General features: G+C 39.0%; 1 long non-coding RNA gene and 1 pseudogene across 2 annotated transcripts; both read left to right on the plus strand.

The window, feature by feature from the left end:
* The first annotated feature begins 5,136 nt into the window (after nt 1–5,136).
* Nucleotides 5,137–14,719, plus strand: LOC100294145 (uncharacterized). 2 transcript variants are annotated; one of them, NR_037177.1, is made up of 2 exons: nt 5,137–5,987; nt 11,881–14,719. It is a non-coding gene; the product is annotated as an uncharacterized LOC100294145 (long non-coding RNA). The 2 variants fall into 2 exon arrangements; NR_037178.1 differs by having other exon boundaries at nt 5,137–5,888.
* Nucleotides 7,363–7,450, plus strand: HLA-Z (major histocompatibility complex, class I, Z (pseudogene); annotated as a pseudogene).
* Nucleotides 14,720–18,864: the final 4,145 nt, after the last annotated feature.

The following is an 18,864-nucleotide window of genomic DNA, read 5'->3' on the forward strand; positions in this document are numbered from 1 at the left end:
TATCATTGTCCATTGGTTTAATCACTCGGTGTCATTTTGTTTTAGGTGCTTTTTGTTTGTTTTTGTTTTTATTTTGAGACAGGGTCTCAGTCTGCCGCTCAGGCTGGAGTGCAGGGGTGCGACTACGGCTCACTGCAACCTCAACCTTCCAGGCTCAAGCGATCCTTGCACCTCAGTTTCCTCAGTAGCTGGGACTACAGGCATGCACAACCACGCCTGGCTAATTTTTTTATTTTTGTAGAGATAGGGTCTCGCTATGTTACCCAGGCTGATCTCAAACTCCTGGGCTCAAGTGATCCTCCCTCCTTGGCCTCCCAAAGTGCTGGGATTACAGGTATAAGCCATTGCCACCAGCACTTTTTGAATAGCAAATACACACACACACACACACAGACCATCTTTACTGAGCAGAAAAATTTAGATTTAATGCAATGATATAAATGGACATTACAAATGCATATATATCTGGATTACTTCTGCCATCATATTTTTATATTTACCATGTTTTTTCATTTTTTAGTCTTCTGTCTCAATAAATTTCATCAAATTGCCTTTGTTACTTCTGTCTCTATGCAAATGATTTCTTATACATCTTTTTCCTTTTTTCTTATGATCCAGTTTTTGAAATATTTTTCTACAAATAAGTAATGCATGTGATGCATATCTACAAGAATTTTAAGCATCCATTTTTTCCCACCAGTCACATGAAGGAATGGAACGTTACCCTTAACATTAAAGTTTCCTGTATTTGTCTTCCCTTAGAATCTCCCTTCCTCTCTGCAAAATGCAACTATTATTCCAAATTTGGAGTTGATCATTATCTTGCTTTTCATCATAGTAAATATTGTCTTTGTCTGACAACAAATTAACATCATAATTAATATCAAAATGTAGTTTTCTGTTGTTTTCTTCATTCAACAATATGATTTTAAGAATTATGCAAGTTTATTATTTTATCTGTATTCCACTGATCTTGATGTTGCATAGAATTCCACATTATGATTATGCCAAAATTTGTGTATCAGTTTACCTGCAAATGGACACTGGGTTGTTTCCAGCTTTTTGCAATTACAAAGAATGCTCTCATGACTTTTCCTGCACATTGCTCTTGGTGCCTTATTCAATAATTTCCCTAAGGTGCATATATATTTAAGGGTAGAGCTGCTATGCTTTAGGATATTCTCAGCTTCAACTCTACAAAATGCCAATTTTTTTCCAAGTAGATTATTTCAGTTTGAAGTCCACCATCAGAGTATGAGTTCCCCTCACCCTACATCCTCATTGATTTTTGATAATGTTAGACTTTTCAATGTTTGTCTATTTAGTGATTTTAAAATGTTATTTCAAGGACTGTTCTAATTCACAATTCTCTGATAACTATTGTGAGCTTAACTTTTGTACGTTTATTGGTCTTTTATATATCCCTTTTTGTGAACTGCCCTTTCACATCTTTTGATCATTTTCCTATGGGGCTATTCTTAGATGTTCTGGATATTGATCCTATGTAAATTATGTGTGATATAAATAAGTTTAGATTGTGGCTTTTTTTCCTTTAGAGTGTGTTTTGATTAAAGTTTCTAATTTTAATGTGGTCAAATTTATTCATCTTCTCTTAACATTTTTGTTTTTAAAATGTGTATGTGTGTCTTTTTAATAAATATTTTTCTACCTTGAAGTCATACAAATATTTCTTTCACATTTTCATTTAAAAGTTTTACAGTTTTGCCTTCAATACGTCGGTACTTAGTTCATCTGGAATTTATTATGATGTATATATATCCACTAATCCAGTGTCATAAATTCAAACTTATTGAATTATACATCCTTTACCCACTGGTCTTTAATGACCATTCTTCACATACAAGGGGTCCTGACACTCTTTCCATTCTATTCTATTGGCCCAGTTGTCTACTCCCTCTCTCACCAATAATAGCACATGGTCTTAAATCCAGTGGTGTATATAATATCTTCTCATGTAGTCAGGAAATTCCCCAACTTCCTCTTTATTTTCAATGGTATTTTGGCTCTTCTTGAACTTGTGTTCCTTCGTTTCATTTTAATATCATTGTGTCCAATTCTATAAAACATTTTGTTGAAATTTTTCTAGAAATAGCATGAAACTATAGATCACATTGGGGAAAACTGGCATTTTAATGATATTGATGCTTCCTAACCATGAATGTATCTCTCCATCTGTGCAGTACTTCTTCAACTTCTTTTAATGATTTTAATTTTCCCCACTAAGATCTTGCATGCCTTTCCTTTTTGAGAATTTATTCCTGATTACAGTGGACCCTTCAACAATGCGAGGGTTAGTAGCGCTGACCACCTGTGCAGTCAAAAATCTGCACATAATTTTTGACTCCTCCAAAACTTTACTAATAGCCTACTGTTGATCAGAAGTCTTACCAATAACATAAAGTTATTTAACATATATTTTATATTTTTATGTGTTATATACTGTACTCTTACAGTAAAGTAAGCTAGAGAAAAGAAAATGTTGGCCAGGTGCGGTGGCCCATGGCTGTAATTCCAGCAGTTTGGGAGGCTGAGGCAGAAGTGCTTGAGACAAGGAGTTGGAGACCAGCCTCAGCAACATAGCGAGACCCCATCTCTACAAAAAATTAAAAATTTAGCCAGGTAGGGTGGCGTGCACCTGTAGTCCCAGCTACTTGGGAGGCTGAGGTGGAGAATCGCTTGAGCCCAGGAGGTTGAAGCTACAGTGAGCCATGATAACACTGCACTCTAGCCTGGGCAACAGAGCAAGACCTTGTCTCAGAAAAGCAAAGAAAATGTTATTTAAAAAATCATAAAGAAGAGAAAATATATTTACTATTCATTAAGTGGAAGTGGAGCATCATAAAGGTCTTCATCCTCATGTCTTCATGGTGAATATGCTAAGAAGGAGGAAGGGGAGGAGAGGTTGGTCTCGCTGTCTCAAGGGTGGCAAAGGCAGAAGAAAATCATATATAAGTAGACCTGCACAGTTCAAGCCCATGTTGTTCAAAGGTCAACTGTACTGTAAGTTTGTTATATAAACCAGTTAATCACATTTCTACTTTTTTGTTTTTATAGAAAATGCAATAGATTTGTTTATATATTTAGCCAACCACTGTGCCAAACTCTTAATTCTTATGTTTTAGATTATTTTTCTCTGTAGACAATTGTATCATCTATGAATAATGAAAGTTTGCTTTATTTCATTCCTATCCTTCCAACTTTTTTTTTGGTCTGTTGTTAAAAGCCCCCCTATCCCATGCCTAAGTAATAAGTAATCTCAATATTACATTCCATCTCATATAATAAAATTTGACTTCCTAAAAGGGCTTGCTTCTTTTTAATTCAATGTCAATGCTGGAATTTCAGTTCTTAGCCTTGAAACCCTGGTGAAAAAATTCTCAGCAAGGTAAGAAGGAAAAAAATGTTCTCCCCTGCTCCTGAAGCTGGAGAGAACAATAAATGAAAACTGTTGTCATAAATGGTTATTTCTAACAATTTTTCAAACCCCTAGACTTCAAATATTTTGGACAGGACCTGACAAAATGACCCTTAATCTGTAAAACATCTGTACTTTTGACCACTCATCTTTCTTAATAATTCAGTTCTCTGGTGATAATGTTTGAGCTTAAAATCTCTATCTTCAGAAGGTAACGTGATTTGTGAATTTTCTGTCAAATCAGGAAAGAATCACTGGCATTGCCCTCTTCCCACACATGCATAGGATAAAATAGCTCTACTGGACTTTTTATTAATCAAAGAGCCCGAGAGACAGCTGAATGGCTGAACCAAGCAGAGAGTGGAAACTTGGGGAGGGTAATTCCTTGCTGGGCCTTAAAAGGAGTCCACAAGATAGGAAAAAAACGAAAAAGCCAAATAAGATGAACCTCTATTCAGGCCCCAATGAGAGGCTGCTTGACTCTGATCTTTCGTTAGCTGGCTCAAAATTTTGTTCTTAAAGAATTATTTTTACTCAAAATCAAGAACTGTTAGAAAACAAGAAAAATTATGGAGTTTTGTTGTTGATTTCCACCTCTCTACATATATATATGAAATACATATCTCCTCCCGATACACATGCACACACGCAAAAACATATTTAACTGAAACAACGGTTTCATGAAACTATAGTTACTCTCATTACCTGTGATGCAGGCAAGTATTTTCAATTGTATTTTATTCTATTTCATTCTACTTGGAAAAAAAGTCTTTTGGTCTCAACATAAATGGGTTCTGACCTGCAGTTTCAAGCCAATACGTTACAGTAAGAGTAAATGTAGGGTTTCTCCCAGTTTTATCTGGCAGTCCCAAAGTCAGGATCAGAGTAACCGATGGAGCATCATTTGTACGCTCCACGTCTGAGGAGGAGGTCTGGGAAAAGATCCAACGTGTAGGACTGGCGCAGAGGCTCAGGCCTGTAATCCCAGCACTTTAAGAGGTGGAGGCGGGAGGATAACTTGAGGTCAACAGTTCGAGACAAGCCTGGCAAACATGGTGAAACCCCGTCTCTACTAAAAATACAGAAATTATCCAGGCGTGGTGGTGCGCACCTGTAGATCCAGCTCCTCGGGAGGCTGAGGCACGAAAATCGCTTGAACGCGGGAGGCGGAGGTTGCAGTGAGACAAGATCACACCACTGCACTCCAGCCTGGGCGACAGAGCGAGACCCTGTCTCAAATAAAAAAAATAATAATAATAATCCAATGTGTCCCTAGTCTGGCTTTCAGGGTCTTAGATGAGGTTCGGAAGTGGACTTAGGAGCCTTAGGAGCGCAGCCAGTGCTGTGGATTCCCACATCCACGGGACCTGCGGTTTCGGGTTATTCCATTCAGGGATACATGACGTCCCTCATTTCTACCTACCAGTGGGCTGGTCAAGATTCTCATTTATCAAGTCAGTTGGAGTGGGCTTAAGTAAGTTCTCAGCCAAGGCTGTGGGGTCTGGAGGACCAGATATCCCGACCAAAAGCCCCCCCTCCCATTCCTTTCACACGCCTGCCGCAGAGGTGCACGGGTGCGAGTGGGGAACTGAGGCAAGAAGCAGATGGGGCGGCACCGAGAGAAGAGAAACTACGCTAGAGGAAAAGCTCGAGCTGTTACCCCTCCCAACTTCTTCCGCCTTCCGCCTTCCCCCTTCCCCCTCTTTCCCCTCTTGCCCCTCTCCAGCTTTTCTGGTCCAACCCTCTTCTGCGCCTAACACTGGCACCTCCTTTTCTTCCGGCTGATGAATAATTGTCCGCAAACCAGCCTCTCTGGGGCACTGAGGGGCGGGAAGGTTAGAAGGAGCCAGGGCTAGAGTCCTGGAAGGTGGCAGTCAGGTCGCAGGGCCACAGCAGTCACTCTGCGACTCTCTCTTCCGGTGTTTCTCCAGCGCCAAGCGGGAGAAGACGGAGCCTGGGAGCTGGGACTGGAGGAGCGGGAAGCGCAGTATCGGGACCACGGCTCTGGGACCAGGAAAAACGCAGACTCTCCAGAGTCAATGTCTACTTCAGCCAGCTCAAGGGCGCGACAACCTGGCGCCGAGCATCTCAGGCCGCCGCGGGGACCCCCCCTAAGGGACTCGGGAACACCTGCCTACCCTAGAAGAGGCGGAGAATAACCCCGTAGGGAGTTAAGCGGCCTCTGCCTACAGCGTTCCTCCCGCCTCCACGGCGCCGAGCCCTGATTGACGTTCAGCCAGGCCAATCATAGCCTGTGTCTGAGGCGCGCGGAGCTGGAGCGCCCAGGGCATGTCCGCCGATCCCAAGGAGGCAATCTGTCAGGCGCCGCCCGGGCGGCAGTATGCCTGAGGGGGTCCTCCGTGTTCGCGCCTCCCGCCGCCTGCACTGAAAGGTCTGTACCTGAGCCTGGATACTTGAACAGAGGCAGACACTGCGGCTCAAAACCCCAAGGGTAGGTACCTATTGTGCGGAGTCTCGGAACGCCTGCCTGGAAGAAGAGTTCCGGCGGCTCCCCGAACGCTTGGAGAAAGCGCTTGGATGCAGTTGCAGGGTGAGATTTGAGACGGTGATTGTGTTTTCCAGCAGGCGCTCAGGCGGGGTGGTGAAGGAGGGATACAGACCTCTAAAGATTCCTCTCTCGTTGGGGTGAGGTGGGGAACAGCAGTGACAGTAGTTCTCATCCCTGAGCCTCCTCCGGGCCGGCCCGTGGAGGAGAGAGAAGGGGAGGGAGAAGGGTTTGCCCAGGCCTTCAGACACTTTACTTTGTGGGAGATGTATGTGCTGAGTGTCCCTGCTCTGGAGGGATTGTTAAAGAATCCAGGTTCTTGGGGAGTGTCTCAGGAGAACACTCCAGGTGATATCCTTATTCTTCCTATTTTCACCGTGTTGGTTTTTTTTTGGATATAACTTGTTCCCTTTAACCCGAGGTGGCCTTGGTGTCTGGCAGCTGTTTTCTCTGCCAGGCACCACCCTCTGGGCCTCACGTCTTCATCCCTCAAGTCCGCTGCCTCTGAGCTGCTACTTAGATCTGGTCTGTTTCTACCTCTGCTGGACCAGAAGTTTGCATTAACGCCCCCACCCCATCCTGCAAGACCGGCGCTTCCAACCAAGGGCTCTCTCCTCTGAACCTAGAACCTGCTTGGAAATCGAGTATTTCCTCTATGCCCAGGTGGAGATTGATGTTTGGGTTTCACATCTCCCAACTCTGTTGGGTACTATGTCGTTTCTCAGCTTGGTTGTATGTGCCTCCATTGAGTGGACCGTATCTCCAGAATTTCTCCTAACCCTCCCAGTGTACTCCCCTGCAATCCTTTCTTTTTTTCTCCAAATCCCCCACCCCCCACCAGAAATGACTTTACCCCTGTGCCACTTATTTTGGCCTGGAGCACTAAGGAGCCATACTACACCCAATGCCAGAGGTGGAACAGAAATGAGGTTTGAAATGGGAACCAGAAGCTAATCTGTGGGAAATTCTTTTACTCCTCAGACGTGTAAAGATGTGTTGGAGACTCTCGTAAATATGTATTCAGTAATGCAGCATATACAGTGATCACCATGTATTCATTTTTTATGGGAATCAACAATTCAGAATGATCAAAAATCCCTGTGTGTAGAGACATGAATCTATAGGAATATCACACATAGTGAGCACAACTGTGAGTGAAATCCCATGTTTCATGCATCCCAGCAGTCCCAAAGGGAGCCTCCAAATGTGTACGGGATTCAGACTCCATGTAACCTGCATCTGTCTATGCACTAGCTATGTGAGCTGTTACCTCAGTCTTGATGAGGTTACTCAGGAAGTCTGGGATCTTGATTTTTGCCGGTCACTGATCACCTGGCTACAGGAAAGGAGACCTAAATCCAGAACTTAAATTTATGAACACCAGGTCTGTAGGCACTAGACCTCAGAAGTAGGTGAGTAGGTGGCTATTGGTTGGTCCCTTCTGGAGTGAGGCAGAGATACCTATGCCATATGCAACATAAAAGGTTGCCTGAGCCCCTCAGCCTGAGGTAGAGTAAGGAGGGAGAGGTGGAGAGGGACTTTCTTCTCAGACCAGGGAAATCAGAAGCCATCAGATGCCTTCAGTAGGGAATCCAGCACAAAGAGGATCATAAGTCATCTCCCCACTTCTCTATAGTCATCATAGACGTAATTGCTAACCTACCCTTCCTTGGTGCTCTGGTTAGTAGAGTGAAGTTGAGATAATATAAATGAAAAAACTGAGCAGAAAGGGAGTGAGGATACGGGGCCTCTTCAGTTTGCCTTATGGGCTTCCCACTCTAAATAGATGAGGTACACAACATTCTGGCAGTATCACACTAGGGCCAGAGTTGGTAGCTCACAGATGTACGATAGAGGATGGAAGGAGTATGCCTCTCAGGCAGGCAAGTTTAGCCTGGTAGACAGAGGATGTGGCTTAAAAGTCACTGCCTACAAGACCAGTGCATGCAAGTGAGTCCCTGCTGCTGCTTGGATCAGAGGAGGTGAGGCAGAAGGCTGATGAAAACCCACCAACTGATGGTCAGTCCGAGAAGCAGTCAAGATGGAGAACTGCAAAATTAACAGCTTAAGTTTTCCAGGAGTCTCAGTGCCCAATGTCAGGTCTACCAGGGATGTCCAGCCCCTCTGGTCAGAGCCCCAGGAGCCTTGTCTGAATGTGGATCCCCTCTGCTTATTCAAAGAGACCTGGGAAGCTGAGCCAGGAACCTGGATAATGACCAGAAAGTCACCCAGACACCTGAGAAATGCCTCCCTTATATCCAAGAGATCCCTGTGTGTAGAACACATGAATCTATTGGAATATCACACACAGTGAGCAGACTCTTCTTACACTTACTAAACTCTCTTCGTAGATTTACTAAATTTTTCACCAGTGACTCAATGGAGCGAAACCAGGTCCCAGACTCGATTTAAAAAAAAAAACCACACACACACACACACAAAAAGTTCTTTAGGTGAGCATGTATGCATGTGTAAATGGTACTATACAATGGTATGATTGGATAGTCAAAGGAATATCTAACCCAAGTGTACATAAGGAGTAAATTTGGAGTCAGAGGAAGTTGGTCATTGTAGGAAAGTAACTGCTGCAAGAAAGATTTCTTAGAATGTAACTGTCTAATATGAGGCATTTATGCCTCTTTTCCTCCATGTTTCTAGTTTCTGCCTTGGGTTTGGCATTTATTGTTTATCCTGCTTCAAGTATAAGACTAGTGGTTTATTCGAGGGCCCACAACTTCCACTTCTACCCTGGCGTCACACAGATCATTTTCTCTTCTCAAGTCATTGTATTTTCACTGGTAGTAAAAGAGGATAATATCTTCATCTTCAAATAAATTAGTGGGAGGGATTCAAATTATGAGGGAAAAGAAAAATTGGTTCTTCTGCTGTAGGGAAGGGTTACTGAAAATTAAAGGACAACCTACTGAGCTGAAGAGAGCTTTGGGGTTTGGTAATTTGGGGTGTGAGGTGGATCTTCAGGAATGCCATGGGCTTCAAGACTAGTGTGTCTCTCCCTTAGTATGTTCCTCCTCAGTTTGAAAGGACTTCCTGGTAAAGGACTGAAAGAAATGTCCACTCCATCATGTCTCTGCTGACACCTAGCTTCTCTTCTCCAGTTATAAGTCCATTTTCCTACTGGGGTAACACAAGAAGGAGGAAGAATAGCTCAGGGGTCTTCCCTTCACATCTCTCCTACAAGGATTGTGAAATGTCATATGCCTCCTCCCATAGACTTAGATAGACCTAAAATTGTCAACATGTGTCCAGATAGTTGCAAAAAATATATAATTTCCAACATATTCTCCATATTAACACTTTAAAATAAAACTGTTAATCACTCATATGTTCAATTCAATCTAAATATCATAATGTTTTGACACCCATTATCATTAATTTAAAAAATATACAAACAACCTCTTTCTTAATGGTTGGAAATTTTACATTGCTCTTTTTTCCCACTTTGAATTCATATTTTTATTCTACCCCCCATGTAGAATTTTTCTTTTTCTTTTTTTTTTTTTTTTTGAGTTCTCAACCCTGGTTACATCCTAATGTAATTTTTTTCTTTGTTCTTGGAAATCTTTTATTGAGCCACCTATTCTGCTTCTTTGCAACAAAATATGTTCTTACATTGAATTTTTAATTTCTTGTTGTAAGTGTAAAAGTTATATGGGCTGGGTGCAGTGGCCCACACCTGTACTCCCAGCACTTTGTGAGGCTGAAGCAGGAGGATTACTTGAGCCCAGGAGTTCAAGACCAGCCTAGGCACATAGGGAAACCTCATCTCTACAAAAAAAAAAAAAATTACTGGACATGGTGGCTCCTGCCTGTAGTCTCAGCTACTTGGGAGGCTGAGGTAGGAGGATCACTTGAGCCCAGGAGGTCGAGGCTGCAGTGAGCCATGATCGTGCCACTGCATGCACTCTACCCTGGATGACAGAGTAAGATGCTGTCTCAAAAAAAAGTTATATGGATTAAGATAGGATTACCAACTGTTAGAGATCAAAATAATGTCAGTACAGATTGGATATGCCTTATTTGAAATGCTTGGGACCAAAAGTGTGTTGGATTTCAGATTATCTTGGATTTTAAAATATTTGTATATACATAATGAGATATCTTGAGGCCGGGACCCAAGTCTAAGCATGAAGTTCACTTATGTTTCTTATATACATTATGCACATAGCCTGAAGGTAATTTTATACCATATTTAAAATAATTTTATATGTGAAATGAAGTTGTGTTAAGTACAGTACTTACATGTGGCATCATATTGGTGCTCAAAAAGTTTCAGATTTTGGAGCATTTCAGATTTTCTGATGAGGGATGCTCAATCTGTAATACACATTTTGGTAAATAAAAGTGTAAGTTTGTAATGGTAAAATTTAACTAGAAATGCATCTCTTAATGAGATGGATAGGGACTTTATTTTCCCAATTTCATGTTGACAAATGTTACTTATTGTTAATGAATCTGGGCTGTATATTATTTCAATTAAAAAATTTTAACATGAAAGAACTAAGGAATCTTGATCATATAAATGAATGAGAAAATAAAGACTTGTTGAGGCAACTTCACCCAATTTTTAAAATTTCTTCTTAGTCGTATGCAAAACTCACATAATGGGCTATTATTAAATAATATTTTTAATAATCTGTCAGCTGACAACTCAAGTATAAGGTTCTTCTTCAATTTTGTTGAAAGCAAAGAATTAGAAACCAATTGACTTGCAAAACTATTTTTATACATACATTAGGTTCTTTCACTTTGTTTTTAGAACTATACCAAAGACTTCACAAAGTCTTATAAAATAACTAATAATTATACCTGCTGCTCTTTCCCTTAGAGATACCTTGTTCATGAATCTCAAATTAGATAAAACTAGGGTTAAAGAAAAACAACCCCCCACACACAAAATTGGAGATCAAAAATCAATAGGTTCTTAAAAAATATCTCTTCATTTTTTATGTCATCTGGAAGTGCCTTTTAAAACTATGACACAGAGATGGTGCTGTATAGTTTACAGTTCATGTGTGTGTGTGTTTAATTTCATTATTGTACAAAATTGTTAATTTTATAATCATGCATTTGATAGATGTAAAACAGTGTGTCAGCCTCCAAGCGGGAGAAATTAATCCAAAATAAATGAAGCTGGATTTCTAAAGTTTAGAGCATCACATCCAAGATTGCATTTGGGAACATTCTGTTTTGTATCCATACACAAATGAATTTCTGTTTTTAAGAACACAATTTAATCTACTTAGTGGAAATCAACAGCAAAATGAAGAGAAGGTATTAGATAATTAATAAATATAGGTTTACAGAAATTCTATTACTGACTGCTATTATGTGCATTAATTACAGCAGAATCCACAAAACATTTCCATCAAATTAAATCTTACTCTAGGAGGTATATGATAAAAATAAATAAATGAACAGAGAAATAACAGCATACTATAAACTGTTACCCAAATAGAAAAATATATTTACACTATCCAGAAATCTTTGGTAAAAGTTAATGAAAATATTTCCCCTATTAGTTAGAAGAAGTTCAAGAAAACATACATTAAAATACCTTCAATATGTGTTTGTTTTACTCCAAGATGTGATGTTGATCTGTGAGAAATTAATTTTGAGCGTTTTGCCTCCACTGCCTTGAAATAATGCAAAATAAGCAACTGAGCTGGGGGCAGTGGCTCATCCCTATAATCCCAGTGCTTTGGGAGGCCAAGGAGGGAGGATCGCTGGAGCCTGGGTGACAGAATAAGACTCTCTCTCTCTCTCTGTGTATATATATATATATTTGCAACTGAAGCACAGATGGGACACAGGTAAGTGGGAGAACTCACCAAGCTCTTTGTTAGTATTTAGAGTGTTTCATAGAAAGTTAATATTTCTTAACTTTTTTTTTTTTTTTTTTTTTTTTTTACAAATTTAGAATATCCTAGCTCTGAGACAAAAATTGGGAACCTCAGCATGAGTTTGTCACCTGAATGAAATAAAAAAAATCACGTTGAAGGCTGGTGCAGTAACATGTGCCTGTAGTCCCAGCTACTCTGGAGGCTGAGTCAGGAGGATCACTTGAGACCAGAAGTTCAGGAATTCAAGACTGGCTTGAGCAACATAGCAAGACTTCATTTCAAAACAAACAGAAAAAAGCCACCACCTTCAGTATTTCTTGCCAAAGCAAAGGAGCCATTTGTTCTTTACGATGGTCAGGAAAGGAAGCATCAAGGTCATCAAATGAAAAATTTTCAGCATTTCAGCCTCTCTGCTCAGGGAAATATCTGAATCTAGAATATCACAACATGAGCCAAAACCGCCCCATTTCTCATGCCACATGTCACTCTTAACACAAGGTTACTCAACCTCGAGCATGGTTGGCATTTGGGGCTGAATAATTCTTTTTTGTAGGGGGCTGTCCTGGGCATTGTAGGATGCTCATGAGCTACCTCAGTCTCTACCACCCACTAGATGCCAGTAGCATTGACCCCTGATCTCTCTACCCAAGTTGTGACAACTAAAACCATCTCTGGATAATGGAGGAACCTTAAATGCATATTGCTAAGGAAAAGCCAATCTGAAAGGATTACATATTGTATGAGTCCAACTATATGGTAATCTGGAAAAGGCAAAACCATGGAGACAGTGAAAAGGTAGTGGTTACCAGTGGTCCATGGGAAGGGTTGGATGAATAGGTGGAGCACAGAGGATTTTTAAGGCAGTGAAACTATTCTGAATGATACTGTAATGGTGGATACATGTCATACCTTTGTCAAAACCAATAAAATATAACAACCAATAAAACTGCACAAAGAGTGAACCCTAATGTAAACTATGGACTTAATAATGTATCAATATTGGCTCACCAATTTTAACAAATGTACCACACTAATGCAAGATGTTACTAATAGTGGAAACTGGAGGGAAGAGGGCTTGAGGGGACATACGGGAACTCTCTGTAATTCCTGTTCAGTTTTTCTGTAACTGTTAAACTGTCCAAAAAAAGTCTGTTTTTATAAATGGAGGCATGGTTTTATATGGACTAAAATACTATGATTGCCTTTTTATTTTACACATGGTGAAATTAGAGCAGGACATATTTTAAACTCAAAATTCACAAAATTAATTTATGAAAATGTTTACCCAGATCAAGAATATTAAAGAAACTTAGATTAATATTGTTACCTTGAATTTATTTTACTGAGTAATCCTCTAAGACTCCTCTACACATTATTAATCTAGAAGGATTTTTAAAGTCTTTATGACAATTAATTATTGGTCTACAGTCAAATTGCGTATCCCCATTAACTAGAGTTATATTTTTCCATTTTCTGATCCAAAAACTTTAGGAACAGGAAATGTTTATTTTAGAAAACAAGAACACTTCTTAAGCATTTGCTGTTAACAGTTATTTTCACATGTGCTTGTACTTATTTTACACTTGTCAGAACATAGTATTTACCTTTGAACCAAGGTTTTATAATAAGCAAGCACTTTTTTTATTTAGAAGTCACATTTTCCAAGTAGAAAAATCATTAAAAATTCAGTCCTCTGAAGGCTAATTTCTTTAAATCATTTAACCTAATTGTTTAAGGTATAGATTGGAATTTTTCTCAGCACTCTCTTGAAAACAGGTGACAGTGGAACCCTGTTAGGTTCACAAATCCTAGACTTTGATTATATAGCCCAGGCTCAAATTTTTCTCGAATGTTACGAACATTCAAAGCATTAGGAGTCTTGGTTTCATTTCTTAATTTTTTTTCTTCTGGGTATATTTGAGACTCATCTTGGATTCAAATAAATTAATAATAGTCTCATGAAACCGATAAAAATGGGAGCTCCATTGAACATGAGAGACATTGATTCGTAGTTTCTAACATCCTCCAAATGAGGAGCCCATCCCTAATTTAGATGCTTCTTTCAAAGGAGGCTCCTTTCCTTCGTTATCCATAATATAGTCACACCAGTCCTGAAAAAACATGGAACAGACTCCAGATCTTTATATTTCATACTCTAAAGTCGTACAAGCCAATCTGCATTTCCTCTAGTGGAAACTGTATAGCTGGTCATCTTTCCAGGACCCTTTTATCAAGAAACAATGCAGCTTCTACATTTGTGCTGCTTCTACACCAAAACAGCTGGAATGTATATAGTATGGTTCTGGATGCTCTTGTATACCTCACTCTTCATTTCTCACCTAACCCATGTGCTATGATTTGAATGTTTCTCCCCTGCAAAACTCATGTTGAAATGTAATTGCCATGATAACAGTATTAATAGGTGGAATATTTAAGAGGTGATTAGGGTGGGATTGGTGATGTTATAAAAGGGTAAGTTCAGCCCCTTCTTGCTCTCTCTGTCACCCTTCCACCTTCCTCTGTGTGATGATGCAACAAAAAAGCCCTTCCCAGATGCCAGCATCTTGATTTTGGACTTCTCAGCCTACAGAACTATAAGCCAATAAATTTCTGTTATTTGTTATTAGTCTGTGATATTCTGTTACAGTAGCACAAAATGGACTATGACACCATGTGTTTACACAGAAAGAAAAAAATATCATACGGTAATTGCTCCTAAATATGCAGAGAATATGTTCTGATATCCTTAGTGGATGCCTGAAACTGCAGATAGTACCAAACCTTATATATACTATGTTTTTTTTCCCATACATATGCATGTTAAAGTTTATAAGTTAGGCAGAGTAAGATATGAACAATAACTAATAATGAAATAGAAACGTAACGATGTGCTGTAATAAAAGTTATGTGACTGACGCCTCTTTTTCTTCCTCTTTCTTTCAAAATATCTTAATATTTTCAAGCCATGGATAACTGAAACTGCAGAAAGTGAAACTGTAGATAAACTATTAACTCTATTTAAACAATAAAAGAATTATAATTATATTCTTGGGAAAATTAACAATTATCCAAAGTCCCTTTGCAAAGGGAAAAAAAATGCATGTATTGGAAAAAATCTCAACCACAGGGTTCCCTAAGCTTTGCAAACAACAAATAGCATCCACCTATCCATCCTCAGAGAGCAACAGTTTTACTGTTATTTAGAAAAAGCAACTATTTCAGGCTGCAGGTTGTGCACATCAGCACTTCCCAGCTCTCTACTAATATGGGAAAACTGACTATCCCTGACTTCAGTTTTTGTGAAGCTAAATGCCTGACTAGAGTTTAAACTGAGGCTAATTGGAGATCATAAAATTTTACAGCTTGCTAGAGGTGGACCACAATTTTGATTGGAAACTTTCCACCAACCAATTCTAAAAGGTGTTAATGGTGACTATTTTCTAAAACAAATCTGAAGAGTAACTAATATGATAAGACCAGAAATATATTTCTCTGGCAAGTCCCTATAAAAAGAAAGCTAGGTAATTAAATAATCTCTCAACAATATTGTTTTAGGAAACCCAATAGAGAGTTTCACAGGCCTGTTTCTTATGGGATTGCTCAATGTAGGTAAATATTATCAAACCAAAAAGTAATTTTGTAACAGAAATTCTACAGAGCCCCAATACCTTACAGAATGATGAGTACAACAGTAGAAACAAATAGAAGATAACCTAGAAAAATAAAGCGAATAACTTAATGGCGTGAGTTAGGTTAAGAAAAGCTTCCTGGAAAAAGACATCTGAATAGAATTTTAGTAGATATAGCTAGGAATTCCCAAGCAGGTAGAAGAAGGGGGACATTCCAGGCAAAGGAATCATGTGAATGCAAAGGTAGGGAGTCATGAATCAATATGTTCGGTTTTTTTGTTGTTTTTGTTTTATAAAGAGCTATAATAGGCTGGGCACAGTGGCTGTAATCCCAGCACTTTGGGAGGCTGAAGCAGGTGGATCACTTGAGCCCAGGAGTTCGAGACCAGCCTGGGCAACATGGCAAAACACTGTCTCTACAAAAACAAAAAAAATTATCCCTGTTCAGTGGTGTGCGCCTGTGGTCCCGGCTACCTGGGAGGCTGAGGCGAGAGGAGTGCTCAAGGTGGGAGGTGGAGATTACAGTGAGCAGAGATCACACCACTGCACTCCAGCCTGAGCGACAGAGAGACTCTGTCTAAAAAAAAAAAAAAAAAGCTATAATAAGATCAGCTTACTAGACAATACAGTGAAATGGGGGAAGCTAGAGAAGAGAGGTGGGCAGTGGCCTCTTATGCTACGTAAGAGATTTGACATCATAAAGTAAGTTGCCAGAGTTCTGAATGAGGGCATTAGAAATAGTAATGAACAGGAAAGCATACACTTAAGAGCTGTCTGCTGTCTGGGAGGTGGAATTTACACTGAGTACTGAGTAATAGAATGAAGGGGTTGAGGGAAAGGTAAGAATCTAGGGTGAGTGTAAATCTTCTGGTTCAGGGGATAAACAACAGGAAGTCATTGAAATCTATTGGCCTATCCGCATTTTGAAATTATTTTTACTCATGTAAGATTCTGTAACATTATATGGTCATTAGGAAATATCTGTTTACTGAATTATGGAGGTATTCGAAATGTTCAAACATTTCATGCAATATCAAAAACTCAAACTGGCTGCAGTGGCTTATGCCTGTAATCCCAGCACATTGGGAGACCAAGGCAGGAGTACTGTCTGAGCCCAGGAGTTCAAGACCAGCCTGGGCAACATGGCAAGACCCCATCTCTACAAAATTTTTTTAAATTTGCCAAGAGTGGAGTGCACATCTGTGGTCTCAGCTACTTGGAAAGCTGAGGCAGGAGGATCACTTGAGCCCATAAGGTTGAGAGCTGCATTCAGTGAGCCCTGTTCATGCCACTGCAATCCAGCCTTAACAACAGAGCAAGACCCTGTCTCAAAAAAATATTATATTCATTAATGTTGCTGCTGATATCAGAAAAAATTCTAAGTATCCCACAGTAGCAGATACAAGCTTTTCAAAATTCCAACTTCTACTTTTAAAAGCTTAAATTTTAGCACTGGCAACAAATACAACTAGTTGTTTTCCCTAAAGTGATAGTATCACTGTTTATTTTCAAGAAAATGTCTGCCAAATTCCCAAGTCTGAATAATCAATTTTCTGTCACTTTTTTTTTCCAAGTGAAAAGATGGTGTTTCCATGAAAGAAAAGAAAAAGTGGCTAATTCAGCTTGCAACTCAAACAAGTGTTTTTCCAAAAGACAACTATATTTCAGCATGCAGTAGAAGTGTTTTATGGGTACATCACATTGTGTCACAAAGAATTTTTTTAAATGTGCTTAAGGGTTGAGATTTAGTAGAAAATAATTTTTACAACTTCATCAAGGACATTATTTTAGTAAAACTGTTTTTTTTTTACTACGAATGTGTGGTGGTGAAGAATACAATGACTACTAATAAAATTTGGTGCCATTGCCTTAATTCGTGCTAAGACACCAGTCATTTTACCCACCATTGGATAAAATCCACCATTTTTGCACCATCAGTGCAAATGTTAACACAGTTAACACAGTTGTTGAGGATAAACCACCAGATTCAAAAAAGTCATATAACACTTTTAATGTTTCAGAACCCCTGTTGCCCAGAATTCACATAAAAGAAGATCATCAATGGTCAATTGATGCTGATACCTGATGAATGAAAGCAAAACAGGATGTATAGCCATCTGTAGATCAGTCCCTTTGTAAGGCTAAGGTACAATTCTTTAGATGATATATTAACTCAGTCTTTATGTTTGCAGTTAAATCTTTAATTTGACAAGTTATTGCATCATTGGAAAATGCCAGCACTATGCATTCTTGTGGTGATTTTTCATCCAGCAGGTATTCAGCAATGTCAACTGTTCAAGCCTTTATTAGTCTCTCTGTGATTGTGTGTGCTCCTCTAGCCAATACAATATGATGGCTTATCCTGTAAGAAGCTTTTAAAGAGTGTATTACATCTACATTTCGGTTATTTAATTCCTTTTTTTAATAAATTCTGAATGATTGGTCCCAAAATGATACTGCAACTTTGTTGGAACCATATAAGTGTTTGAAAATGTTTTACTGCACAAGACACAATATGATAAATTATTAACATCTATAAAGCTGAACAAAAGATCACTTTCAACATATTTTTGTTGTGTATAGTTGTGCTCAGTTTCTTTGGAATAGATTTCTCCTTTTTATGAGGAATCAGATAACTTGCTGATATGTCAATGTCATCCTTTTCAGCATCTCTAGACATAGGCAATCTAGACACCAGAAAATGTGTTTTCTCTTCTCCCTTTTTAAAGCCAACCATCCACCCTATTCAGATAAAATTTTTTAATTAAAAACATTTTTGAAAAATATATTATTGCAAAACAACAAAGTAAACATAATTTTTGTTATGTTTCTGTGTAAAAGGAAAAACTTTAGGATTTAAAAATGATTTCTTGGAAGATAATGAGATTACAGAGATTATAACAGGTATAACTGAAGATAGCTGGTAAGAGCATGGTAGAAAAGAAATAATTTCTGAAAACTACATACTTATACCGTAAACTCACTACCTTTGAAAACTCTAGAAAATACAATACACAGGCACACAATCTGTTAGGTATCAGAGAAATAGTCATCACTATTCATCACATGCCATTGTTGTCTTTGGCGAACCCTTCTGTACACTTATGAGAGTGAGAGTAAAAAAAAGGCAAATAACATCTTAATTTTATGAATATTTTTGACCTTGTTGACCCTCTAAAAGGATCCAAGGGATCTCTCCCTCCCAACATCCCCAGGAATCCTCTGATCACATTTTGAGAACTGTTGGATAAGTCAGTTAATATTGCAGGAACATAGGCTATCACCATGGGGAATAAATGAAACCAGATCTCTACCTCACACCATTACAAAAATAAATTTTAAATGAAATAAAAGGCTAAATGTGAAAAGGTAAAGGTTTAAAGCTTTGGGGGGGAAATGTAGAATAACTTTATTATCTCAAGGTAGATAGCC

Source organism: Homo sapiens, chromosome 6 (genome assembly GCF_000001405.40).
Source record: "Homo sapiens chromosome 6, GRCh38.p14 Primary Assembly".
Taxonomy (NCBI): Eukaryota; Metazoa; Chordata; class Mammalia; order Primates; family Hominidae; genus Homo; species Homo sapiens.